At 41.0% G+C, this 25190-nt stretch overlaps 1 protein-coding gene across 50 annotated transcripts in view; it reads left to right on the top strand.

Moving 5' to 3' along the window:
• R3HDM2 (R3H domain containing 2) overlaps positions 1 to 25190 on the top strand; it is a 177378-nt gene that overhangs the window by 75357 nt on the left and 76831 nt on the right. For 5 of the 50 annotated variants that reach the window (NM_001351216.2, NM_001351215.2, NM_001330122.2 and 2 more), the window contains exon 1: positions 14011 to 14399. The exons of 39 other annotated variants lie outside the window; for them this stretch is intronic. The gene's annotated coding sequence lies outside the window, so the exon portion shown is untranslated. Of the gene's footprint in view, positions 1 to 13328; positions 13617 to 14010; positions 14481 to 25190 lie in introns of those variants that run through there. 6 more of the 50 variants (NM_001351214.2, NM_001351205.2, XM_047428512.1 and 3 more) reach the window with 4 other exon arrangements.

Here is a 25190-nt window from a genome sequence, read left to right as displayed (position 1 = left end):
ATCAAAACATTGCTTATGGATCAGAAGACTTGATATTTTTAAATTCTTCCCATGTCCATAGATTCAATACAATTCCAGTTGACAAAATTTGTCTGGAAGCACAGAGTCTAGAATAGACAAAACAAGTTTGAAAATGAAGATTAAAGTTGGAAGACTTAAACTACCTGATTTCAAGACTTATTATAAAAAGTTCATTAATTAAAATGGTATGTGAAATAAACATGTCAGTTGATTTTTGACAGAGTTGCCAAGTCATTTCAATGGGAAAGAGATGACTTTTTAAAAAGTGTTTCTTTCTTTTTTTTTTCTTTCTTTTTTTTTTTTTTTTGAGACAGTCTCGCTCTGTTGCCCAGGCTGGAGTGCAGTGGCCCGATCTCAGCGCACTGCAAGCTCTGCCTCTCGGGTTCACGCCATTCTCCTGCCTCAGCCTCCCGAGTAGTTGGGACTATAGGCGCCTGCCACTACGCCCGGCTAATTTTTTTTGTATTTTTAGTAGAGACGGGGTTTCACCGTGTTAGCCAGGATGGTCTCGATCTCCTGACCTCGTGATCCGCCCGCCTCGGCCTCCCAAAGTGCTGGGATTACAGGCATGAGCCACCGCGCCCGGCCAAGAAGTGTTTCTTAAACAATTGGATAAACCGTATACTAAAAACAAACCTTCAAACTTACATCAAAAAATTAACTCAAAATGGATCATAGATCCGGGTGTGGTGTCTTATGCCTGTAATCCCAGCACTGTGGGAGGTGGAGGCGGACTCTACTAAGGAAAAGCAAACAAACAAACAAAACAAAACTAGCCTGGCATGGTGGCACATGCCTGTAATCCCAGCTACTCAGGAGGCTGAGGTGGGAGAATCGCTTGAGTCTGAGAGGTCGAGGCTGCAGTGAGCTGTGATCATCCCACTGCATTCCAACCTGGGAAATAGAGCAAGACCCTGTCTCGAAAATAAAATTCTTTTTTAAAGACACTGTTGAGAAAATGAAAATGCAAGTTTCATACTGGCAGAAAATGTAAGTTTTAGAAAATACTCATATGTAGAATATATGAAGAACTCTTAGAATTCATCAATAAGAAGACAACCCAATTAAAAAATGGACAAGAGATGTGAACAAACACTCGGCCAGGGAAGATACAGGGTTGAAAAATCAGCACATGAAAAGATGTTCAGTATTACTCATTAAAAAAATGCAGGCAGGGTGCAGTGGCTCACTCCTGTAATCCCAGCACTTTGGGAGGCTGAGGCAGGCGAATCACTTGAGGCCAGGAGTTCGAGATCAGCCTGGCCAACATGGTGAAACCCCATCTCTACTAAAAATACAAAAAATTAGCTGGGTATGGTGGCCCACATCTGTGGTTCCAGCTACTCTGGAGGCTGAGACATGAGAATCGCTTGAACCTGGGAGCCAGAGGTTACATGAACTGAGATTGCACCACCGCACTCGAGCCTGCGTGACAGAGTCAGACTCTGTCTCAAAAACAACAAGAAAAAAAACCCATCAAACAAAAAGTCTGGCCATACCAAATGTTGATGAGACTGTGGAGCAGTTAGAATTCTCATGTTACTGATAAGAAAGATGGTACAACCACTTTGAAACAGACTTAAAAAAAAAAATTAGACCAGGCGTGGTGGCTCACGCCTGTAATCCCAGCACTTTGGGAGGCCAAGGTGGGCAGACACCTGAGGTCAGGAGTTCAAGAGGTCAGGAGTTCAAGACCAGCCTGGCCAACATGGTGAAACCCTGTCTCTACTAAAAATACAAAAATTAGCTGGGTGTGGTGGCGTGCACTTGTAATCCTAGCTACTCAGAAGGCTGAATCAGAAAATTGCTTGAACCCAGAGGTGGAGGTTACAGTAAGCCGAGATTGCACCACTGCACTCCAGCCTGGGTGACAGAGCGAGACTCTTTCTCAAAAAAATAAAAAAATAAAAAAAACATATTTTTACCACAAGAGACACCCATTCTTCCCTCTATGTCTTTATGCAAGAGAAATGAATCCATATGTTCATGTCAAGATTTATATATGATTTTTTATACCTGCTCTATTTGTAATAGTTAAAAATTGGAAATAGCTGGGTATGGTGGCACACACCTATAGTTCCTAGCTATTCGGGAGGGTGAGGTGGGAGGATCCTGGAGTCCAAGAGTTTGAGGCCAGCTTGAGCAACATAACAAGACCCCATATCTAAAAAAAATAAAAATAAATAATAAATGGGAAACAACCCAGATATTCCTCAACACATAAATGAATAAATTATGCTTTATCTATTCAATGGTGTATAACTCAACAATAAAATTAACAATTTATTGATATATCAGTACATGGAAATTGTAAGACATTTTTTAAAGTTTTTGGTGGTCTGTTGGGTGTGGCATGAAATTTTTGGTTTTAATTTGTATTTTCCTAATTCCTAGGAGAAGATGAATTTATCTTTATTATTAGTCATTTGAGTTTCTAATTTTTAGTCTTTGGCAAGTTTTCTAATTACTTACTTGTCATTTTCTTTTTGGTTTGTAATTCTTTGTATATACTAAGTACCAGTTATTTGTCCTATATGTATGTTTCACAAAAAAACTTGCAGTCTGTAGCTTATTTTTTAACTGTTTATGAATTTTTAAAATTGTATAGAAGTTTTCAATTTTGAAGTCATCAAAAGTTTCAATGTTTTTTCTGATTTGTGCTAATTCTTATTCAAGAAATCCTTCTTTATGCTGAGGTCATTAAGAATCTTGTATATCTGTTTTTGAACATTTTAAGGATTTACTTTTCATGTGTAGGTCTTTAATCTACCAGAAATTTATATTTGTGTGTGGTGTGAATATGGCTCTGATTTTTTTTCTATGTGGATAACTAATTGCCCCAACACATCTGGTACCGTATTTAATTATGCTTCTAATATAATCAAGTTTTGGGTCATGTACAGGATCTCTATTCTTTTCCCATTGATCTGCTCAATTCCCAGGTCTTAATTACTATATAAGAAGCTTATGCCTTGGATGCCATGGTTCACGCCTGTAATCCCAGCACTTTAGGAGGCTGAGGTGGGTGGATCATTTGAGGTTAGGAGTTTGAGACCAGCCTGGCCAACATGGTGAAACCCCATGTCTACAAAAAAGTACAAAAATTAGCTGGGTGTGGTGGCGCGCACCTGTAGTCCCAGCTACTCACGAGGCTGAGACAGGAGAATTGCCTGAGTGCAGGAGGCAGAGGTTGCAGTGAGCCGAGATCATGCCACTGCACTCCAACCTGGGTGACAGAGTGATGATCCATCTAAAAAAAAAAAAAAAAAAAGCGTTTGCCTAGTGTGGCAGATTTTCCTTCCTTGTTCATCTTATTTAAACTCCATTGACATTTTTGTTGGAATTGAATTGAATTTAAAGATCGACATGGGGGAACTGACTTTGCAATATTGAGTCATTCTAGCCAGAGATATGATCTATGACTCCATTTGTTTGGGTTATTTATACCCTTCAATAACATTTCATAAGTTTTTCATTAAAGATCTCTTTTCCCTAGATTTGTTTTTTTTTTTTTTTTTTTTTGAGATGGAGTCTTGCTGTGTTGCCCAGGCTGGAGTGCAGTGGCACCATCTTGGCTCACTGCAACCTCCACCTCTTGGGTTCAAGTGATTCTCCTGCCTCAGCCTCCCATACCCTAAGTAGTTTTGTTAATTATTGTATTTCCTTTCTCTACTGTTAGAATATAGATACACTGTTAATTTTAGTACATTGATCTTCATTTCAGCTGAATTCTTTTAAATGCTAAATGTTTGGTACTTAGATTTTCTTGGGTACTAGACAGCCACATTGGTTAAATTTAGGAAAGTTTTGTTTCTTTTTAATTACACCTTCTTTGTTTTTTATGTCTTACTGCTTTTGTCTAAGCCTTCCCATTCAATAATGAATAGAGATGGTGATGGTGAGCATCCGTATATCATTCCTGACTCTAATGATGACTTTTTTTCATATAAACTCAGTAATAACAATATTGACTCCAATTTATTAAGTTCCTACTCTGTGCCATGTACAAATCACACAGTGTGTTAGTGATTTGTTTCTAATTTTTGTAATATCTTGCAAGACAGATAGAGTTACCCCATTTTATATATGACATTCAAACAGGTAGAGTAGTAGTTTGCCTGTTACATAATTAGTGAGTAGAAAATCTGGGAATTAGTTATTGTTAGTTTTTGTGCTTTACCTAGAGAAAATCTCTCAGTGGGGAGAAGTAGAAAGACTTGCTAAAATGAAATGCTGACATTTTCTTTATGAATTCTCCATCTGCTACATGCTATAGAAATGGCACATACTCCCTCAGTACTCACCATCCACAGGCCTTACTTATTGCTTCCTTTTATATCCTGTTGATGTGAATGAACACTATTGTTTTTTTAGTCTTAATTATTGCTTAATTCAGATTATGTCTTATTCATCACATAAGCAGATTTTGCCTTCTACAGCAGCAGCTCTTCGTTCTACATCTCTTTTTTCATTCTTTAGACAGTTTTTTATTTTAATCAGACAGGATCTTGCTCTGTCGCCTAGGCTAGAGTACAGTGGTGCCATCACGGCTTGCTCCAGCCTCAACCTCTTGGGCTCAAGCAGTCCTTCCACGTCAGCCTTCTGAGTAGCTGGGACCACAGGTGAGCACCTAGCTAATTTTGTATTTTATTTTTATTTTTTGAGACAGAGTCTCACTCTGTCGCCCAGGCTAGAGTACAGTGGCACCCATGGTCTTGGCACACTGCAACCTCCACCTCCAAGGTTCAAGCAATTCTTTGCCTCAGCCTCCTGAGTAGCTGGGATTACAGGCACCCGCCACCATGCCCAGCTAATTTTTGTATTTTTAATAGAGATGGGGTTTCACCATCTTGGCCAGGCTGGTCTTGAACTCCTGACTTTGTGATTCACCCTCCTTGGCCTCCCAAAGTGCTGGGATTACAGGCGTGAACCACTGCACCTGGCCAACGCCTAGCTAATTTTTAAATTTTATGTAGAGACAGGGTCTTCCTATGTTGCCCAGGCTGGTCTTGAACTCCTGAGCTCAAGCGATCCTCCTGCTTTGGCCTCCCAAAGTGTCGAGATTACAGGCATGAGTTCTCATTCTTTAGACATTTGATGTAGTTGTTTGTTTTTGGTTTTAGTTATTTTTTGAGTGAGGTCTTGCTCTGTTGCCCCATCTGGAGTGCAGTGGTACAATCATAGCTCTCTGCAGTTTGAACTCCTGGGCTCAAGGTATCCTCCCGTCTCAGCCTCCCAAGTAGCTGGGATTAGAGGGTAACCATCACGCCTGACCATTTGATGTAGTTTTATTTGCCATCCAGATATGGGAGAAGTTTTGGAAGTTTATCTCAGGCTTCATCTCTCTTCACTCATGTAAGCTTTTTTTTCTTTTCAAAAATTTTCTTATGGGAATTTAAACATAAATAACAATAGAGAATAGTTTAACTTCCATGAATCCAACACCTAGTTTCAACACAGTCTCCTCCCATTTTTTATTGTTGTTATTAAAGTTGGATTATTTTATTTATTAGTTTAATGTATTTTATTTTATTTTTATTTTATTAATTTGTTTGAGACAGAGTCTTGCTCTGTCGCCCAGTCTGGTGTGCAGTGGCGCGATCTCGGCTTACTGCAATCTCTGCCTCCCGGGTTCAAGCGATTCTCCTGCCTCAACTTCCCAAGTAGCTGAGACTGTAGGCATGTGCCACTATGCCTGGCTGATTTTTGTATTTTTAGTAGAGATGGGATTTCACCATGGCCAGGCTGGTCTCAAACTCCTGACCTCAGATTATCTGCCCACCTCGGCCTCCCAAAGTGCTGGGATTACAGGCGTGAGCCATTGTGCCCGGTTGAGTTTAATGTATTTTAATAACAAACTTACAGGAACAGCACAGAAGACAGACAACATTAAAACCATGTACTGGCCAGGCGCTGTGGCTCACGCCTGTAATCCCAGCACTTCGACGGGCTGAGGCAGGTGGATCACGAGGACAGGAGATGGAGACCATCCTGGCTAACATGGTGAAACCCCGTCTCTACTAAAAATACAGAAAATTAGCCGGGCGTGGTGGCACATGCTTGTAGTCCCAGCTACTCGGGAGGCTGAGGCAGGAGAATGGCTTGAACCCGGGAGGCGGAGGTTATAGTGAGCTGAGATCGTGCCACTGCACTCCAGCCTGGGCGACAGAGCGAGACTCTGTCTCAAAAAAAAAAAACAACCAAAAAACAAAAAGCAAACCATGTACTTAGATGTAGGACAACTGAATTAGAAAAATATGGTGAATGGATGGAATTAACTGCATGATAAAAATGCTGCAAACACTATTTAGTTGCCAACAGTAAGAAATTTACTTGATTTTCTTGATTTTCTTTTCTTTTTTTTTTTTTTTTTTTTTTTTTTTTGGAGACGGAGTCTCGCTCTGTCGGCAGGTTAGAGAGCAGTGGCGAGATCTCGGCTCACTGCAAGCTCTGCCTCCCGGGTTCACGCCATTCTCCTGCCTCAGCCTCCCGAGTAGCTGGGACTACAGGCACCTGCCACCACGCCCGGCTAATTTTTTGTATTTTTAGTAGAGTCGGGGTTTCACCGTGTTAGCCAGGATGGTCTCAATCTCCTGACCTCGTGATCTGCCCGCCTCAGCCTCCCAAAGTGGTGGGACTACAGGCGTGAGCCACCATGCCCGGCCTTGATTTTCAAGTAATCCAAATTCTGGCATTATCCAGAAAAATTCAACAGGTTTATTTATAATTAGAATTGAACTCCTGAAACTTGTTCACTGAAACATATTGACTTGCATTAATGCTTTATGTACCCAAATTTATATGAAAAATTCACACATAAATGAAAATGGAAAAACAGCCAATACTACTTGATTTCCGCTTCTTTTTTTGTTTAGAAACAGTGCCTCCCTCTGTTGCTCAGGTTGGAGTGCAGTGGTGCGATCACGGCTCACTGCAGCCTGCAGCCTCAACCTCCTGGGCTCAAGTGATCTTCCTGCCCTAGCTTCCTGAGTAGCTGGGACTACAGGTGTGTGCCACCATGCCTGGCTAATTTTTCTCTCTCTTTTTTTTTTTTTTTTTTTTTTTTTTTTGAGACGGAGTCTCGCTCTGTCGCCCAGGCTAGAGTATAGTGGCACAATCTTGGCTCACTGCAACCTCTGCCTCCCGGGTTCAAGCAATTCTCCTGCCTCAACCTCCTGAGTAGCTGGGATTACAGGCGTGTGCCACCACACCTGGCAAATTTTTGTATTTTTAGTAGAGACGGGGTTTTGCCATGTTGGCCAGACTGGTCTTGAGCTCCTGACCTCAGGTGATTCACCTGCCTTGGCCTCCCAAAGTGCTGGGTTTACAGGCGTGAGTCACCGTGCCCAGCCCTATTTTTCGTAGAGATGAGGTTTCACTAGTTGCCCAGGCTGCTCTTGAACTCTCAAGCTCAAGTGCTTCTCCTGCCTTGGCCTCCCAAAGTGTTGGGATTACAGGTGTGAGCCACCACACCTGGCCTTTTTTTATTTCTTAATAGAGACAAGGGAGACGAGGTCTCGCCATGTTGCCCAGGCTGATCTTGAACTCCTGGGCTCAATCGATCCTTAGGCTTCAGCCTCCCACAGTGTTGAGATTATAGGCATGAGCCACTGTGCCAAGCTGATTTCTGTTTCTCACTTTTCCACTTACAGTGATATATTTTGATACCTTTTGACCTCACAGAAAAAAATACAGAACGATCAGAACTATCAATAACAGGAAAAAGATTTTTCTTCCTTAGGATGAAACATCTGTCATGAGAGTGGATTTTTTTTTCTTTTTTTGAGACAGGGTCTTGCTCTGTCACCTAGGCAAGACCTCATCTGAGTCTGCTAGAGATTCATCAATTTTATTTATCCTTTGAAGGAACTAGTTTTTTGTTTCATATTTTTTCCTGTTTTCAATTTCATTGAGTTTTGCTTTTTATTATTACCTTCATTGTGATTCCTTTGAATGTATTTTGTTCTCCTCTTTTTAGTTTCTTAAGATGGAAAGTTAGATTATTGATATAAGATGTTTCTACTTGTATTAAGTCAGCTTCAGCTGCTGTTGCAAAATACCACAGACTAGGTGGCTTAAACAGCAGAAATTTTTCTTTTCTTTTCCTTGTAGACAGCATGTAATTGGGTCATTTTTAAAAATGTATTTGGACAATCTCTGTCTTTTAACTGGCATTTTTAGACAATTTACACTTAATATAATTGTTACTATGTTAGATTTTGTCTACCATCTTATTTTGTGTTTTTTCTTTGTTCCTCTTATTTTTTAATCACTTGTTGATTCTGTTGTTTTGCCTTTGAGTGATTTGAACCTTTGTAGTATTGGATTTTAATCTTTGTAATTTATCTACCTGGTTCTGACTATATCTTTTTGTATAGGTTTTTTATTGGTTACTGTAGAGATCTCTCTAGATCTCTATGTATGTATGCACACATATACACACATATATACACACACAGATATGTGGTACATGTACACATGTGTGCATGTAGATATACACACCTAACTTTTTTTTTTTAAGATGGGGTCTCACTCTGTCATCCAGGCTGGAGTGCGGTGGCACAGATACAGCTCATTGCAGCTTCAAACTCCTGGACTCAAGTGATCCTCCCTCCTCAGCCTCCTGAGTAGCTGAGACTGTAGGCCTATGCCACCAAGCCCAGCTAATTTTTTAATTTTTTTGTACAGATAGGGTCTCGCTATGTTGACCAGGCTTGTCTTGAACTCCTGGCCTCAGGTGACCCTCCTGCCTCAGCCTCCTTACATGCTGGGATTACAGGTGTGAGCCACGATGCCCAGCTACATGTAACTTTTAATATTTAGAATTGATATTTTACCATTTCAGGTGGAGTCTTGAAACCTTACCACCATATAGGTTTCTTTCGTATCCCTCTTTATGTTGTAGTTGCCTTATCTGTTACATCTACATACATTAAAAACCCCATCAACTTAAAACTTTCGCTCTCAAACATCAAACATTTTAAGGAACTCAATAGGAGAATAGTCTATTATATGTAATCAAATATTTACCATTTATGTTTTTCTTCCTTCTGGTCTTCCATATTTTGTTGTATTATCATTTTCTTTTTGTAAAATGTCCTTTGACCATTCTTTTAGTGCAGATCTGCTACTGTGAATTCTCTTAGTTTTCCTTCATCTGAGAATGTCTTTATTTCATCTTCATTACTGAAGGATATTTTCTCTAGATATAGAATACTGTATTTATAGTTCTTTCATTTAGCACTTTAAAAAAAATGTTGTCCCACTTCCTTCTAGTTCTCATGGTTTCTTTTTTTTTTGTTTTTGAGATGGAGTTTCACTCTTGTTGCCCAGGCTGGAGTGCAATGGCACGGTCTTGGCTCACTGCAACCTCTGCCTCCTGGGTTCAAGTGATTCTCCTGCCTCAGCCTCCCAAGTAGCTGGGATTACAGGCGCCCGCCACCATGCCTGGCTAATTTTTTGTACTTTTAGTAGAGACGAGGTTTCACCACGTTGGCCAGGCTGGTCTCGAACTCCTAGCCTCAGGTGATCCACTCGCTTCGGCCTCCCAAAGTGCTGGGATTATAGGTGTAAGCCACTGCTCCAGGCCTTTTTTTTTTTTTTTTTGAGACGGAGTTTTGCTCTTGTTGCCCAGGCTGGAGTGCAATGGCACGATCTTGGCTCACTGCAACCTCTACCTCTCGGGTTCAAGCAATTCTGCCTCAGCCTCCTGAGTAGCTGGGATTACAGGCACCCACCACCACGCCCGGCTAATTTTTGTATTTTTGGTAGAGGTTGGGTTTCACCGTGTTGGCCAGCCTGGTCTGGAACTCCTGATCTCAGGTGATCTGCCTGCCTTGGCCTACCAAAGTGCTGGGATTACAGGCGTGAGCCACCGCACCCAGCCCTCATTCTCCTGGTTTTTGATAAGAAATATGAAGCTGCCAGGCATGGTGGCTGGTGCCTGTAATCTCAGTTACTTGGGAGGCTGAAGTGGGAGGATTGCTTGAGGCCAGGAGTTGAGAAGCCTGGGCAACATAGCAAGAACTCTTCTCTAAAAAAATAAAATAAATATAGATTAGGGGGCATGGGGGCACATGCCTGTAGTCCCAGCTACCTGAGAGCCAGAACCAGGAGGCAGGAGGATTGCTTGAGCCCAGAAGTTCAACGCTGCAGTGAGCTGCAATCCTGCCACTGCACTCCAGCCTGATGCTAAAGCAAGACCTGTCTCTTAATATATGTGTGTGTGTGTGTGTGTGTGTGTGTGTGTGTGTGTGTGTGTGTATAAAAGAAATATGAAGCCATTTGAATCATTATTGCCTTAATAACGAATGCATCATTTCATTTTGGTTGCCTTCAAGATTTTTTCTCTTTTTGTGTTTAGCTGTTAGGTTATGATGAATCCAGGAGTTTATCATGGATTTGTTTGTGTTTATCCTGTTTGGGGCAATTACTGAGCTTCTTGAATCTGTTGGTTTATGTCTTTTGTCAAACTTGTGAAGTTTGCTTCCATTATTTCTTTCAGTATTTCAGTACACTCTTTCTCCTCACCTTCTGGGACTCTAATGTCCTGAATATTAGACATTTTGGTATTGTTCCTCAGGTCCTTGATGATCTGGTTTTTTTTTCCCCCAATAAGGAAATTTTTTTAGGCCAGTTGCAGTGGCTCATGCCTGTAATCCCAGCATTTTGGGAGCCCGAGGCAGGCAGATCACCCGAGGTCGGGAGTTTGATACCAGCCTGACCAACATGGAGAAACCCAGTATCTACTAAAAATACAAAATTAGCCGGACATGGTGGTGCATGCCTGTAATCCCAGCTACTCTGGAGGCTGAGGCAGGAGAATCGCTTGAACCAGGAAGGTGGAAAGGTGGAGGTTGCGGTGAGCTGAGATTGCACCATTGCACTCCAACCTGGGCAACAAGAGCAAAACTCCATCTCAAAAAAAAAACAAAAAACAAAAAAACAGGAGAAGTTTTTTTCCTTTAGTGTTGAAATTCAGTGTTCACATTTGATACCTCTGTTGATCTGACTTCAAATTCATTGACTCTTTCCCCTGTCATTTCTGTTCTGCTGTTGAACTCATCAAGTGAGTTTTTATGTTCTGGTTGTTATATTTTCCAGTTCTAAAATTTTCATTTGATTCTTCTTTATATCCTCTGTTTCTTTGCTGAGACATTCTGTCTTTTCATTAGTTTCAAGAATGTTTGTCCTACCTTGTTGGAATATTTTTGTCATGTGAGGTTGTTAATTTCAACATTTGCATCATCTTCTTGTTTTGACTGTTCATCTCTTTTCTTATACAAATTCAAATTATCTTGATTCTTCATATGCTGGGAAATTTTAGATTGTATCCTGGAAAATTTGAATATTATGTCATGAATGTCAGGGTCTTCTTTAAATCCTGTGGTGAATATTGACTTTAATTTTAGCAGACATTCAACCTGGTTGTGTTCAACTTCAAGTTCCGTGCAGCTTTTCGTGAGTGATGATTCCAAAGTCTGTTCAGTTTTTGAAGGCTTTGCATTGCTATTTAGATCTGCCTTGCATGTATATCACCTACCCACTCATCTGAGATTTGGCTGATGGCTATTCTTATAGTTCAGAATGACCTTAACGTTAGGAGATACGTACTGAATTGTTTTAGGTGTGAAGAGTCATCATGAAAGCATGTCAAATAGACCTGAAAAAAATTTATATGCACATATATGCATGCACATATGTGTATACGTAAGTTTGTATATGTATCTAGGTGATTGTTGTGCTGGTTTTGCAAATTCTTTTTATGTTAGAAATTTCTCAAGTAAAAATTTCAGGGCAACAAAGAAATAAATAAAGGTCAAAAACATGTCATTCATCTGCTTAAAAACCACAAATGGCCTGTCATCTCATGAAGTGTAAAAGTTAGATTGCTTTCAGTGGTCGATTTGGCCCTGCGGGATCAGCCTTCCAACCCCCTAAGGCTTCTCATCTCACTCAGAGTAAAAGCCAGAACCTGTTTTTTTTTTTTTTTTTTTTTTAACCTTTTGTAAGACCCTTCATGAGTCTATCTCTTATTCCTAGAGCTTATCTTAGTTCCTGTCCATAGTAATAACCCAACCAGACAAGTATTTGTCTGAATGAATAAATAGATGTGTTTTTGTGACAGGTTTTATTGTTTTCATCAGGATGCCTTGACCATAGCTATACATTATTTTTTGCTGTTGCAGATCATGCACTGCCTGTAATGTTCATTACTTCCTGAGCAATAGAGATTATTACTATCCTTCCTTGGGCTCTTAAAAATTAAGATCCGAGGCTAGGCTCGGTGGCTCACGTCTGTAATCCCAGCATTTTGGGAGGCCAAGGCAGGCAGATCACCTGAGGTCGGGAGTTCGAGACCAGCCTGACCAGCCTGGAGAAACCCTGTCTCTACTAAAAATACAAAATTAGCTGGGCCTGGTGGCGCATGTCTGTAATCCTAGCTACTCGGGAGGCTGATGCAGGAGAACCGCTTGAACCGGGAGGCGGAGGTTGTGGTGAGCCAAGATCGCGCCATTGGACTCTAGCTTGGGCAACAAGAGTGAAACTCCGTCTCAAAAAAAAAAAAAAAAAAAAATTAAGACCCGAGGGTCATATCTAAGCTTGCCGTTCCAGAGCCATGTATACTTTCTCAAATAATTACTTTTCTTTCCTGGTCTCCTTTGTACCAATTTCTTTATTTTAATCTACTTATTGTCATCCCTGTACTTACACTCTCCATTACCATCCTTTTTCATCAGTTCTGTCAGTAAGATGCCTTCATGGTTTCCTTATTCCCTCATTTTATAGCCAAAGTATTTTTCCCTTCCTTTGGGGGCAAATAATAGGAAGAGGAATAGATAGCTACTGGTATCCTGTGCTGTCTGCCTTCTGCCCCAAAATGAAAAACAATTTTACTAAATATAGCTCGCTGGCAAGAAAATTCTCTATAACAAGGTTTGGTCTTAATTTTACATTTCTAAAGTCCAGCCCAGTAGCTTTTAGGCAAAGATCATATCCCTGACCTCAGTTATTTTGCAGGTGAGAAAAAGGTAAGGTAAATTTAAAGGTGAGCTTTTAATTCAATACATATTTCCAACTTGTTATTCACTAAAGAGACTATTTTGGTATTTCGACATATGTAGCAGAAAGGAGCTGCTGCTGTGTCTTTAAAAGCTATCCTCAGAGCAGTGTGGAGGCAGGCGTGCCACTGAAGTACTTGAATGAGAGCGAGAAGAGGAGGTGGGAGGGGGTGCTCTTACAGCCTCTGTGTGTGTGTGTGTGTGTGTCTGTGTGTGCCTGTGTCTGTGTCTGTGAGTGTATGTGCCAGTGTGACTGTTGGCAGAGCTCTGGATGATATCTCTCTGAACAGCTGGGCCATGGTCGGCTTCAGAGCTGCTTGTCAGAGCAGTTAGTTAGCTGGAGCTCCAGCAGCAAGGATCAGTATCATTTCATTCAAGGGTGAAGGGGGCGGGAGAGGGCTGTGGGTGGGGGAAGAGGCACAGGTTTCCCAGAAGGAATTTCTTCCGGCAAAATTCCGGCAGAACAGATCTTTACAATGAAGTCTCCATTAATAATGTGAGCTCGCTGTTGGTGTAAGTACAGATCCATCTGGGGTGAGTTTTGGATAATTTTCTTTTTTTATATAAAAGTCCTTGAACTCCACAGACTGGGTAGAAAGAAGCTATAAAGATATTTTTCTATCTTGGCTGATTTAACTGTATAGTACACACTAGGGAAATTAGAGAATTTTGAAGTGCTAAGTTTTGTGAAGGTGTTTTAGGCATTTTCATTTGCTGTTTTTTATCTTTAAAATATTATAAAAATTAGGTTTGCTAGAACTTTTACACTATTCAGATTTTACCTCTTCCATGACTATTTCAAGCAATGCTTCATTCAGATGCAGCTTATGAGAACAGTGGTGATTTCTGTTCTCTTTGGTGATGCTGTTGACGCACATTGCAGGAAGCAGGGATTCCCCTATAAATATCCTTCACTGTGTCATTACCCAGCTATCCGCACCTGGCTGGTGAATGTGCCTGTCTGTCCTATATCTTTACGTAACTATCCCCTAGTCTTTAAATGTGATAAGCCTTTGCTATGTCTGGGGAGATTTTTTGATTATGAACATCCTAGGAGGCATTTGTTAAAACCTTTTTACTAAAAAATGCCTTTTGATGTGTTGAGATTGTCACATGGATTTCTTCTGGGTTTATTTATTCTTATTTTGTATTACTTTTTCTTATAATTGGCTTGTTTTTATTTGCTGGCCTTGGCTTCTAAAGAGTGCAGAGATGGGATTCCCTCTACCTCCAGTGACGTAGTGATTTTGTTTGCAGTCTTTTTCTTCTGAGAGGGAGGGGACGGAGAGAAGGAAGAAGAAAAATCCATCTGAAGCGGTGCGTTCTTCCTTCTGTGACTTGATGTTGGTAACTGGGTGCCATTGAATAGAGCTGAAGCCAAAGTGGGATGTTTTAAAGGTGCTATAATTTTGTTTGTTTCCTTTTAAAATAGGGTCAGACCGAAGTCAGAATTGCTGAAGCAGGGTGCCTGAATTAACCCTATATGTCCTGCTGTTAATTTTACCTAATTACGTTTTCTAAATAAGGAAAGATAAAGAACTCATGAGCAGGTTTCTGGAACCAGGATCCATGAATAATTTTGGTTGAGTTTTGGATTTGGAATTTTTCTGCCTTATTTGCACAGACAGTTTGTACACTGTTTCTCAGACCTAAAAAATAGGTAGTTATGTAAAATTCCTTGACATTGTAGTTTAGAACAAAATTCTAATTTTGATGTATGTAGCTAAAGCGAAGCTTTAGGAAGAAATTGTTATATATACTCTTAGGTGTGAGCATAACAGCCCAACCCATTTTTTTTTTTTTTGGATTGAGTATCTGGGCTTCCAGTCGCTTTTCATGCAATTCCATTTTAATACCGCTGATTTCTAGAGGGCTGCAGAGGTCAGTTTGAAAAACTCAGTAAACTAGAGCCTAGGAAAATTAAGGGTTTACCTATCTGTCAATGTGTGTTTAGGTAACATATGTGGAAAAGTACCTTTAAAAATATGCTGGTTTATTTTCTGTCTTTATTTTCTCTTCTGTTCTGTGCTTTCATTTACTCTGAATTCTTTGTGTGAAGTGAAAAGAGTAATAATGTCTGCTTCTCAGCTTACATTAGGTATTCTTATTTTTCTATGATAGTTCAATTATATTAATATTTATTACAGCCATAAATGTTTCAGACCAACACAATCTATTTTTGGGGGGTGGGGTGTGGTAGGAGGAGAAAAAGGAAGATAATCCTAGGGCAAATGGAGAGAATTCTAGAAGAATAACCTATTTAGATGTTTGCCAGAGACAGGAGCTATAAGGGTTAAGGGAAATTCCACCACATCCTTGCATCTTGATATTGCAGCAAATTTGTGGATAATTTCTTGCTAGCTTTTCAGGAAACCCCTGTGGTGGACAACCCTCATTAATCGTTGCTGGGAGACTGCTCTGACGTCACTGGGAGCAGTTCCCTGTCTGCAACTAGGACAGGAATAGCCTTTGAGGGGGAAGAAAACTGCTGTGAAATTAAAAGATGACGGTTTTGTTTACTTGGTTTTCCTTTCATTTGAGGGTAGATAAGATAGACCTAAAGTCTTTCTTAAATGTTTGTCATTACCAAGGGAAAAATTGCCAAAAGTTCTTTTTATTTCAACTGGGAGTGCCTTCTTTTGAAATCTTTTATTTTCTAACCATCAAGGTTTTGGAAGAGGTCAAGGAAAAAGAAAAGCTATTGAAAGATGTTAGAGAAGTAAGATTTCTGTTTCTTTTTATCCCCTTTTCTCCCTACTTTTTTTGTTTTTTGTTTTTGGAAGAAGGAAAGATCAAGAACAACTTTTATAAATGGTTGTTTTTAGCATCACCCCGTTTGGGATAATTAAAAATGTGATATATATGTTGGAAGGACACTACTGTGCCTAAAAGTTACTATACCTACTTAATTCTCTTCTCTCTGATATCTTCCTCTCCTAGCCCACTCCCTTAACAGCTCTCACTGTTAACAGCTTCTCCTTCTCTCTCTCTCTTTTTTTTTTTTTTAGATGGAGTCTTTCTCTGTCACCCAGGCTGGACTGCAGTGGCATGATCTTGGCTCACTGCAACTTCCACCTCCCGGGTTCAAGCAGTTCTCCTGCCTCAGCCTCCCAAGTAGCTGGCATTACAGGTGCATGCCACCACATCCAGCTAATTTTTGTATTTTTAGTACAGATGGGGTTTCACCATGTTGGCCAGGTTGGTCTTGAACTTCTGACCTCGTGATCCACCCACCGGCCTCCCAAAGTGCTGGAATTACAGTCATGAGCCACCACATCTGCCAAGAGCTTCTCTTTAGAAAAAACTTACTGGTTGAATGCTTGCCCCCTGGAATTCAAATCCCAGCTTTGCCAATTGCTGCTCTGTGACCTTGGCCAAATTATTTAACGTCTCCATTTGTAAAATGGGTCAGACGTAGTGGCTTACACCTGTAATCCCAGCACCTTGGGAGGCTGAGGCGGATGGATCACTTGAGGTCAGGAGTTTGAGACCAGCCTGGCCAACATGGTGAAACCCAGTCTCTACTAAAACTACAAAAAAATTTAGCCGGGTATGGTGGCGAACACCTGTAATCCCAGCTACTGGGCAGAGGTTGCAGTGAACCGAGATCACACCTCTGCACTCCAGCCTGGGCAACGGAGCAAGACTCTGCCTTTTAAAAAGACACACACATGCACACACATTTGTAAAACGAAGACAATAATTAGTACCCACTTCCTAGGGTTGTTTTGAGGATTAAAAGAGTTAATATATACATAATAAATCTTTTAAGACAGTTCCTGGTCATTTAAAGACTTAGCATTAGCCATTATTATTAATATTTAGAAATAGAGTCCAGCCCAGGTGGCAGAATGAGACCCTATCTCTCTCTCTCTCTCTCCCTTTGAAAAAAAAAAAATGGCAGGGGGATGTACTATTTGTGTCTTCAGATCACATGTAATTTTTGAGGAAGCCATAAGAGATTTTCAAGCCATGTACGAGATTGAGTTTTTAAAATGAACATCAGGACCAGGCATTGTGGCTCACACTTGTAAGCCCAGCATGTTACTTTGGGAGGCCAGGGTGGGTGGATCACTTGAGGTCTGGGGTTCGAGACCAGCCTGGGCTATATGGTGAAACCTCGTCTCTACCAAAAATGCAAATAAATTAGCTGGGCGTGGTGGCTCACGCCTGTAGTCCCAGTTACTCGGGAGGCTGAGGCAGGAGGATCACTTGAACATATCCAACCAATATGGATACAAATTCTGTACTAATATGGAAACAAAGTTTAGAAAGAGATATCTCAAAACATCATGTTGTTAATAGCAGTTATCTCTGAGTTGTTGATCATGGGTATTTTTGTTTGTTTGTTTTCTTCTCTATAATTGTGCGTGTTGTTTTTGTTTTTGTTTTTGTTTTTGAGATGGAGCTTTGCTCTTGTTGCCCAGACTGGAGTGCAATGGTGCGATCTTGGCTCACCGCAACCTCTGCCTCCCGGGTTCAAGCAATTCTCCTGCCTCAGCCTTCTGAGTAGCTGGGAGTACAGGCATGCGCCACCATGCCCGGATAATTTTGTATTTTTAGTAGAGACAGGGTTTCTCCATGTTGGTCAGGCTGGTCTTGAACTCCTGACCTCAGGTGATCCGCCCATCTCAGCCTCACAAAGAGCTGAGATTACAGGCGTGAGCCACTGCACCCGGCCATGCGTGTTTTTTCTAAGTATAAAGAAACCTGCAGTACTTTTCTAATCATAAAAATTAAAAAATATAAAAATTTCTAGTGTTCATATCTGACAGATGAAAATTTTTAGCATTTGTTAAATTCAAATAATTGTGATGACCTGTATAACCTGGACATAGTGTTTGGAATACAGTAAATGATAGCTGCTGCTATTATTAGTTGAGAAAGATAGCTTCCTATGATTCGAGTCTGGGGCTTTCATATTGGGAGGTAACATCTCTGAGAAGATACCCTCTTCATGCACCTTCTTGTCCTTCTGAGATTAATAAATATGCTCTCTTTCTATATCTGCTAACCCAAGATCTTTACACACATACACAAGGTTATAGAACTAGAGTGCAATGTTTCGGGTTTTTTTGTTTGTTTTTTGTTTTTGCTGATGGTATAGAGGAAATTTAACGTGCAGATAGGCCTACTAGTGACTTTCTTTGCAGTGACTTAAAAAAATGCTTTAATACAATTTATGACTCCCACTGAAAGTTGCTTCTACCCCATTTTCTGAGTTGTTGCCTTAAGAATTCTTGGGAAATTTGGGCTGGGCACGGTGGCTCATACCTGCAATCCCAGCACTTTGGGAGGCCAAGATAGGCAGATCCCTTGAGCCCGAGTTCGAAACCAGCCTAGGCAAGATAGGGAGATCCAGACTCTACAAAAGAACAAAAAAAATTCAGCCAAGTGTATGGCCCTGTAGGCTCAGCTAATTGGAAGGCTGAGGCAGGAGGTCACTTGAGCCCATGAGATTGGGGCCACAGTGAGCTGAGATAGCACCACTATACTCCATCCAACCTGGGCAACAGAGCGAGACCCTGTCTCAAAACAACAACAACAACAACAACAACAACAAAAAGAGAGAAAGAGAATTCTTGGGAAATTTGAAATAGCATTCCAGAAAAGATTTTCTCAGGTTTAGGAATTTCTGAAATTCTGTCTATTGCTTCTCACGTTAGTCTGCTGTGTGGGTCCCTTGGAACTCAAGTGCTAACACATGAGATCTAGACTTTTTTACAAATAATTTTCAAAAATTTATTTGAAAAATTACTTTTCAACTTCAAGAATCTACTTATAAGTAAAGCATGGAAGACAATTTTGTAATGTAAACATTAGCATTGCCTAGCTCTAGAAACCTTTGTTCTATTCCATAGCCTCTTTTTTTTTTTTTTTAAACTTTTATTTTAGGTTTGGGGGTATATATGATGGTTTGTTACACAGGTAAACATGTATCACAGGGGTTTGTTATACATATTATTTTGCCACCAGTGTTAAGCCCAGTACCCAATAGTTATCTTTTCTGGTCCTCTCCCTCCTGTCACCCTCCCCGCTCATGTAGACCCCAGTGTGTATTGTTTTCTTCTTTGTGTCCACAAGTTCTTATCATTTAGCTCCCACTTATAAGTGATAACATGCGGTATTTGGTTTTCTGTTCCTGCCTTAGTTTGCTAAGGATAATAGCCTTGAGCTTCATCCCTGTTCCTGCAAAAGACATTATCTCATTCTTTTTTATGGCTGCATAGTATTCCATGGTGTATGTACCACATTTTCTTTATCCAGTCTGTCATTGATGGGCATTTAGGTTGATTAAACCTAAATCGACCACGTCTTTGCTATTCTGAATAGTGTTGCAGTGAACATTCATGTGAATGTGTCTTTATGTTGGTAGAATGATTTATATTCCTCTAGGTATAAACTCAGTAATGGGATTGCTGGGTTGAATGGTAGTTCTGCTTTTAGCTCTTTGAGGAACCATCATACTGCTTTCCATAATGATTGAACAATTTACACTCCCATCAATAGTGTATAAGTGTTTCCTTTTCACTGTAACCTCACCAGCATCTGTTATTTTTTGACTTTTTAATAATAGCCATTCTGACTGGTGTGAGGTATGAAATTAAAAAAAAAAAACCCACAATGAGATACCATTAGATACTATGGTATGGTATCTCATTGTGGGTGTTTTTGATTGGCATTTCTCTAATTATCAGTGAGATTGAGCTTTTTTTCCATATGCTTGTTGTCTGCATGTATGTCTTCTTTTGAGAAGTGTCTGTTCATATCCTTTTCCCACTTTTTAATGGGGTTGTTTGTTTTTCTCTTGTACATTTAAGTTCCTTATGGATGATGGAACTCATAGGCTCAAGCCATCCTCCTGCTTCAGCTTCCCAAATTGCTGGGTTTGCAACGGTGAGCCACCATGCCTGGCTAACACCTATAATCTCAACACTTTGGGAGGCCGACATGGGAAGATCTTGTGAGGCCAGGAGTTCAAGGCCAGCCTGGGCAACCTAATAAGAACCTGTCCCTACCAAAAAAAAAAAAAAAAAGTTAGCTGGGTATGGTGGCACCTGCCTGTAGTCCCAGCTATTTGGGAGGCTGAGGCAGGAGGATTGGTTGAGCCCAGGAGTTCAAAGTTGCAGCAAGCTGTGACTAGGCCACTGCACTCCAGCATGGGCAACATAGCAAGATGCTGTCACTTAAAAAAAAAAAAAAAAAAAAAGGTGGCCGGGCGTGATGGCTCACGCCTGTAATCCCAGCACTTTGGGAGGCTGAGGTCAGGAGTTTGAGGCCAGCCTGGCCAACATGGTGAAACCCCGTGTCTACTAAAAATACAAAAATTAGCCAGGTGTGGTGGCAGGCGTCTGTAGTCCCAGCTACTTGGGAGGCTAAGGCAGGAGAATCACTTGAACCCAGGAGGCAGAGGTTGCAGTGAGTTGAGATTATGCCATTGCACTCCAGCCTGGGTGACAGAGCAAGACTCTGTGTCAAAAAAATAAAAAGTATGGGAGATTGACACAGATCAGCAGTACTAAATTATATATATGAAAAAATATATGTTATATATTTTGTAGTGACCGAGTCTTGCTCTGTTGCCCAGGCTGGAGTGCAATGGCCCAATCATAGCTCACTATAGCCTCAACCTCCTGGGCTCAAGGGATCCTCCTGCTATAGCCTCTCAAGTAGCTGGGACTACACAGAGGTACCACTACACCCAGCTAACTTTTTTTTTTTTTTTTGGTAGAGGTGGGGTCTCACTATGTTGCCCAGGCTGCTCTCAAACTGCTAGCCTCAGGTGACACTCCTGCTTTGGCCTCTCAAAGTGCTGGGATTACAGACATGAGCCACGACACCTGGCCAGCAGTCCTAAACTAAAGTCTTTAGCTCTCCGTATATTGAGGCATGGGAAGTTTAAATATTGTGATTTAGCTGAACACTGATTCCTCACTGATTCCTCAATATATCCCTACACTGATTCCTCAATATATCCTGGTGTTGGTTTTCCAGCAGTTTAAAGATTCTTGAATTTCTTTACTGAAATTCAACAAGGAAAAATCTCCAGGGTTTTTGGGATCCCTTGTTATTTGCATAGATTGATTGTCTTTGCTATTCACTCCTTGCCCCATTCATTTTTAGTATAACAGAATGGCAGCATTTCTTATTTGTCTGTATAGACTATTCTCTGACAGTTTTTGCAGCAGTTTCTATGGAAAATGCTTTATTTCAAAAAAAAAAAGGCAAGGGAAATCTCATCTTGAGGCTCTTAGTGATAGAGCCTGTTGCCATGGAGTCTTGGATCAGATTGGCTGACCCAGGGGCCAATGAACAGATAGAACATAAACACATTATCATTTAACTTTGCAGAATTTATTATTCGATAATAGGTGACATTAACACCCTAACTGTATATAGAAACTGTGAAATAAAATGTTTCAAAAATGGTGTAAGGTGTTTTTTAAATTTGCTGTTAAATATAAATTTGATAATTGCATATTCTTAATGTGATTTGATTGGGGGAGGATATGGTGGGAAATACCTACCACCTATCTGTGAATTGAGCTGCTACTGCAGCCAGTTGGGCTTGTGCTAAGTCTAAGTCTAACTATGACCTTCTGGACTAGAGGAGGTTTTTTTTATATATGTGAAGCTGCCTTTCTTTCTTTTTCTTTTTTTTTTTTGAGACGGAGTCTCGCTCTGTCCCAGGCTGGAGTGCAGTGGCGCAGTCTCGGCTCGTTGCAGCCTCTGCCTCCTGGGTTCAAGCTCTTCTGCCTCAGCCTCCCAAGTAGTTGGGATTACAGGCACGTGCCACCACGCCCGGCTAATTTTTTGTATTTTTAGTAGAGATGGGGTTTCGCCACGTTAGCCAGGCTGGTCTCGAACTCCTAACCTCGTCATCCACCCGCCTCAGCCTCCAAAAGTGCTGGGATTACAGGCATGAGCCACCACATCCAGTGCCCTTCCTTTCTTCCTTCCTTCCTCCCTCCTTCCCTCTAGAAATATTTATTTATGTATTTATTTATTTATTTTGAGATGGAGTTTCGCTCTTGTCACCCAGGCTGCAGTGGCGCAATCTCAGCCCACTGCAACCTCTGCCTCCCAGATTCAAGCAATTCTCCTGCCTCAGCCTTCAAAGTAGCTGGGATTACAGGCGCCTGCCACCATGCCTGGCTAATTTTTTTGTATTTTTAGTAGAGACGGGGTTTCACCATGTTGGCCAGGCTGGTCTCAAACTCCTGACATTAGGTGATCCACCCACTTTGTCCTCCCAAAGTGTTGGGATTACAGGCATGAGCCACTGTGCCTGGCCTGAAGCTGCCTTTCTTATTTTGATAGCTTTTAAATCTGCATCGGAAATTATTAGCTTTTTTCTTCCATGTTTTTCTTTTTTTTCTACTCCAATCTGACATGGTAGATCCCTGTCAACATTATATAGTTGTCTCTCTCTTTGGTCTGGAGATAGAGGAATAGCTGGGGGTAGCTTCCATGTTTTCCATCTTTACTTCTCTAGCTTGTTTGTATATATTGACTTAGGTCTGGGATATTTCACTGAGCTCAGTGTTGGTTCCTTGTCATAGCAGATCATGGCATGTTCCTTTTCCTATTTTAATGCCCAAGAGAATAAGAATGATTCATTCATAGAAATTTCCCTCTCTAGATCTTGTAAATGAAAGAAGTCAAGAGTTTTGCGTTTCCCTTCTTACACTTTATGTCAAGGGATACTTGAGAAATTATGGTGGGTCTTATTCTTTGCTCTCCCAGTGTTCTCATACTTAGGTATTTACAGAGCTAAAGGATTGAAAGCGATATCCAAAGGCCCATGAGTTTATTCCTTTCTTTTGAGCTACTCAGCTCTCTGTAAGATATGAATCATTATATCATCACCTCCATCTCAGGAAAAACCAATTTTAGATTCTCTATTAAGCAAAGAGGGACAAAAAGTGTGTTCAGTATCTGACTGGATAACTCACCTTAGGGTAAGAATAAGGAATGTGGTTTGGTTCATTGGATAAGCACAAAGCAGGAGGAAAAAAGTATCACGTTAGATTCACAGGTTATAAGCTTGAATCTCAGTTCACACAGTTTTTTAGATCTTGCAGATCTTTTCTTGCTAAGCTTTATTTTGAATGAGAAACACTGATCTCTTAGGTGAAAATTTGGGAAAGCCATCCTGATCTGAATTTGGGAAAGCAGCAGACCGTTTTGAGAAAACAGTGTGATATCAAAGAAAGAACATGAATTTGGAGGCATTCTTGAGTTGAATTCTAGCTTTGCCACCTACTTTTTTTTTTTTTTTTTTTTTTTTTGAGACAGGGTCTCACTCCAGGCTGGAGTGCTGGAGTGATGCAGTCACAGCTCACTGTAGCCTTGACCTCCCAGGCTCAAGCGATCCTCTTACCTCAGCCTCCCAAGTAGCTGGGACTACAGGTGTGTGTCACCACACCTGGTTTATTTTTTTATTTTTATTTTTGTAGAGACAGGGTTCCACTATGTTGCTCAGGCTGGTCTCAAAATCCTAGGCTCAAGCAATCCTCCCACCTCAGCCTTCCAAAGTTCTGGGATTACAGGCATGGATCATCATACCTGGCCACTGTTTACATTCTATTAATATGGCAAATTACTTTTTTCTTTTCAAGACAGGGTCTTGCTCTGTGGTCCAGGCTGGAATCCAATGGTACAATCACAGCTCACCATAGCCTCCTGGGCTCAAATGATCCTGCTACCTCACCCTTTCAAGTATCTGGGACTACAGGTACATGCCACCATGCCTAGCTAATTAAAAAAAAAAATTTTTTTTTTTTTTTAGACAGAGTCTTGCTCTGTCACCCACACTGTAGTACAGTGGCGTGATCTTGGCTCACTGCAAGCTCCGCGTCCCGGGTTCATGTCATTCTCCTGCCTCAGCCTCCCAAGTAGCTGGTACTACAGGCGCCTGCCACCACGCCCGGCTAATTTTTTGTATTTTTAGCGGAGACGGGGTTTCACCGTGTTAGCCAGGATGGTCTTGATCTCCTGACCTCATGACCCACCCACCTCGGCCTCCCAAAGTGCTGGGATTACAGGCGTGAGCCATAAAAAAATTTTACAGAGACAGAGTTTCCCTATATTGCCCAGCCTGCAAATTACTTTAATTCACTTATTTAAAATATACTTATTATATGCCAGGCACTATTCTAGACCCTGTTTATAAGCAGCGAGCAAAGCAAAATCAAAATCCCTGCCCTCTTTGAGTGTACCTTGGGGACAGAGAGATAATAAACAAGATAAATAGTAAAATAAATTGATAGTTTGACAATGATAAACGACGAGAAAAATAAAGTCAAGGAAATGGTATAGGAGGTATTTGGGGTTTTGTAAGAGATAGGGTCAAAGAACAAACACTGGTGGTCAGGTCATTTAAGGTCTTGTAGATCATTTTAGGGACATCTGCTCTGAGTGAGATGGAGACCCATTGGGGGATTTTGAGCAAAGATGTAAAATGACCTAACAACGTTTTTACACAATCATTGTGGCTGCTGTTTACAAAATACTATGGTAGGGGTGAAAGTGGAAGTAAAGAGACCAATTAGAGGGATGTTGCAGTCATTCCGCCAAGAGAGGATGGTGGAATGACAAGGCAAGAAAAAGAAAGAAAAGGCATCAAAATTAGAAGGGAAAAAGTAAAATTATCTCTATTTGCAGACGATGGGATCTTAGATATAGAAAACCCTAAAGATTCCGGCCGGGCACGGTGGCTCACGCCTGTAATCCCAGCACTTTGGGAGGCCGAGGCGGGCAGATCACAAGGTCAGGAGATCGAGACCATCTGGCTAACATGGTGAAACCCCTTCTCTACTAAAAATACAAAAAAATTAGCAGGGCGTGGTGGCGGGTGCCTGTAGTCCCAGCTACTTGGGAGGCTGAGGCAGGAGAATGGCGTGAACCCGGGAGGCGGAGCTTGCAGTGAGCTGAGATTGCGCCACTGCACTCCAGCCTGGGCAACAGAACGAGACTCCGTCTCAAAAAAAAAAAAAAAAAAAAAAGAAAAGCCCTAAAGATGCCACAAAAAATCACTTTAGAATTAATAAATGCCAGCCAGGCACGGTGGCTCACACTTGTAATCCCAGCACTTTGGGAGGCCAA

This window comes from Homo sapiens, chromosome 12 (assembly GCF_000001405.40).
Source record: "Homo sapiens chromosome 12, GRCh38.p14 Primary Assembly".
Taxonomy (NCBI): domain Eukaryota; kingdom Metazoa; phylum Chordata; class Mammalia; order Primates; family Hominidae; genus Homo; species Homo sapiens.
This window is presented reverse-complemented; position numbering and strand designations above follow the sequence as displayed.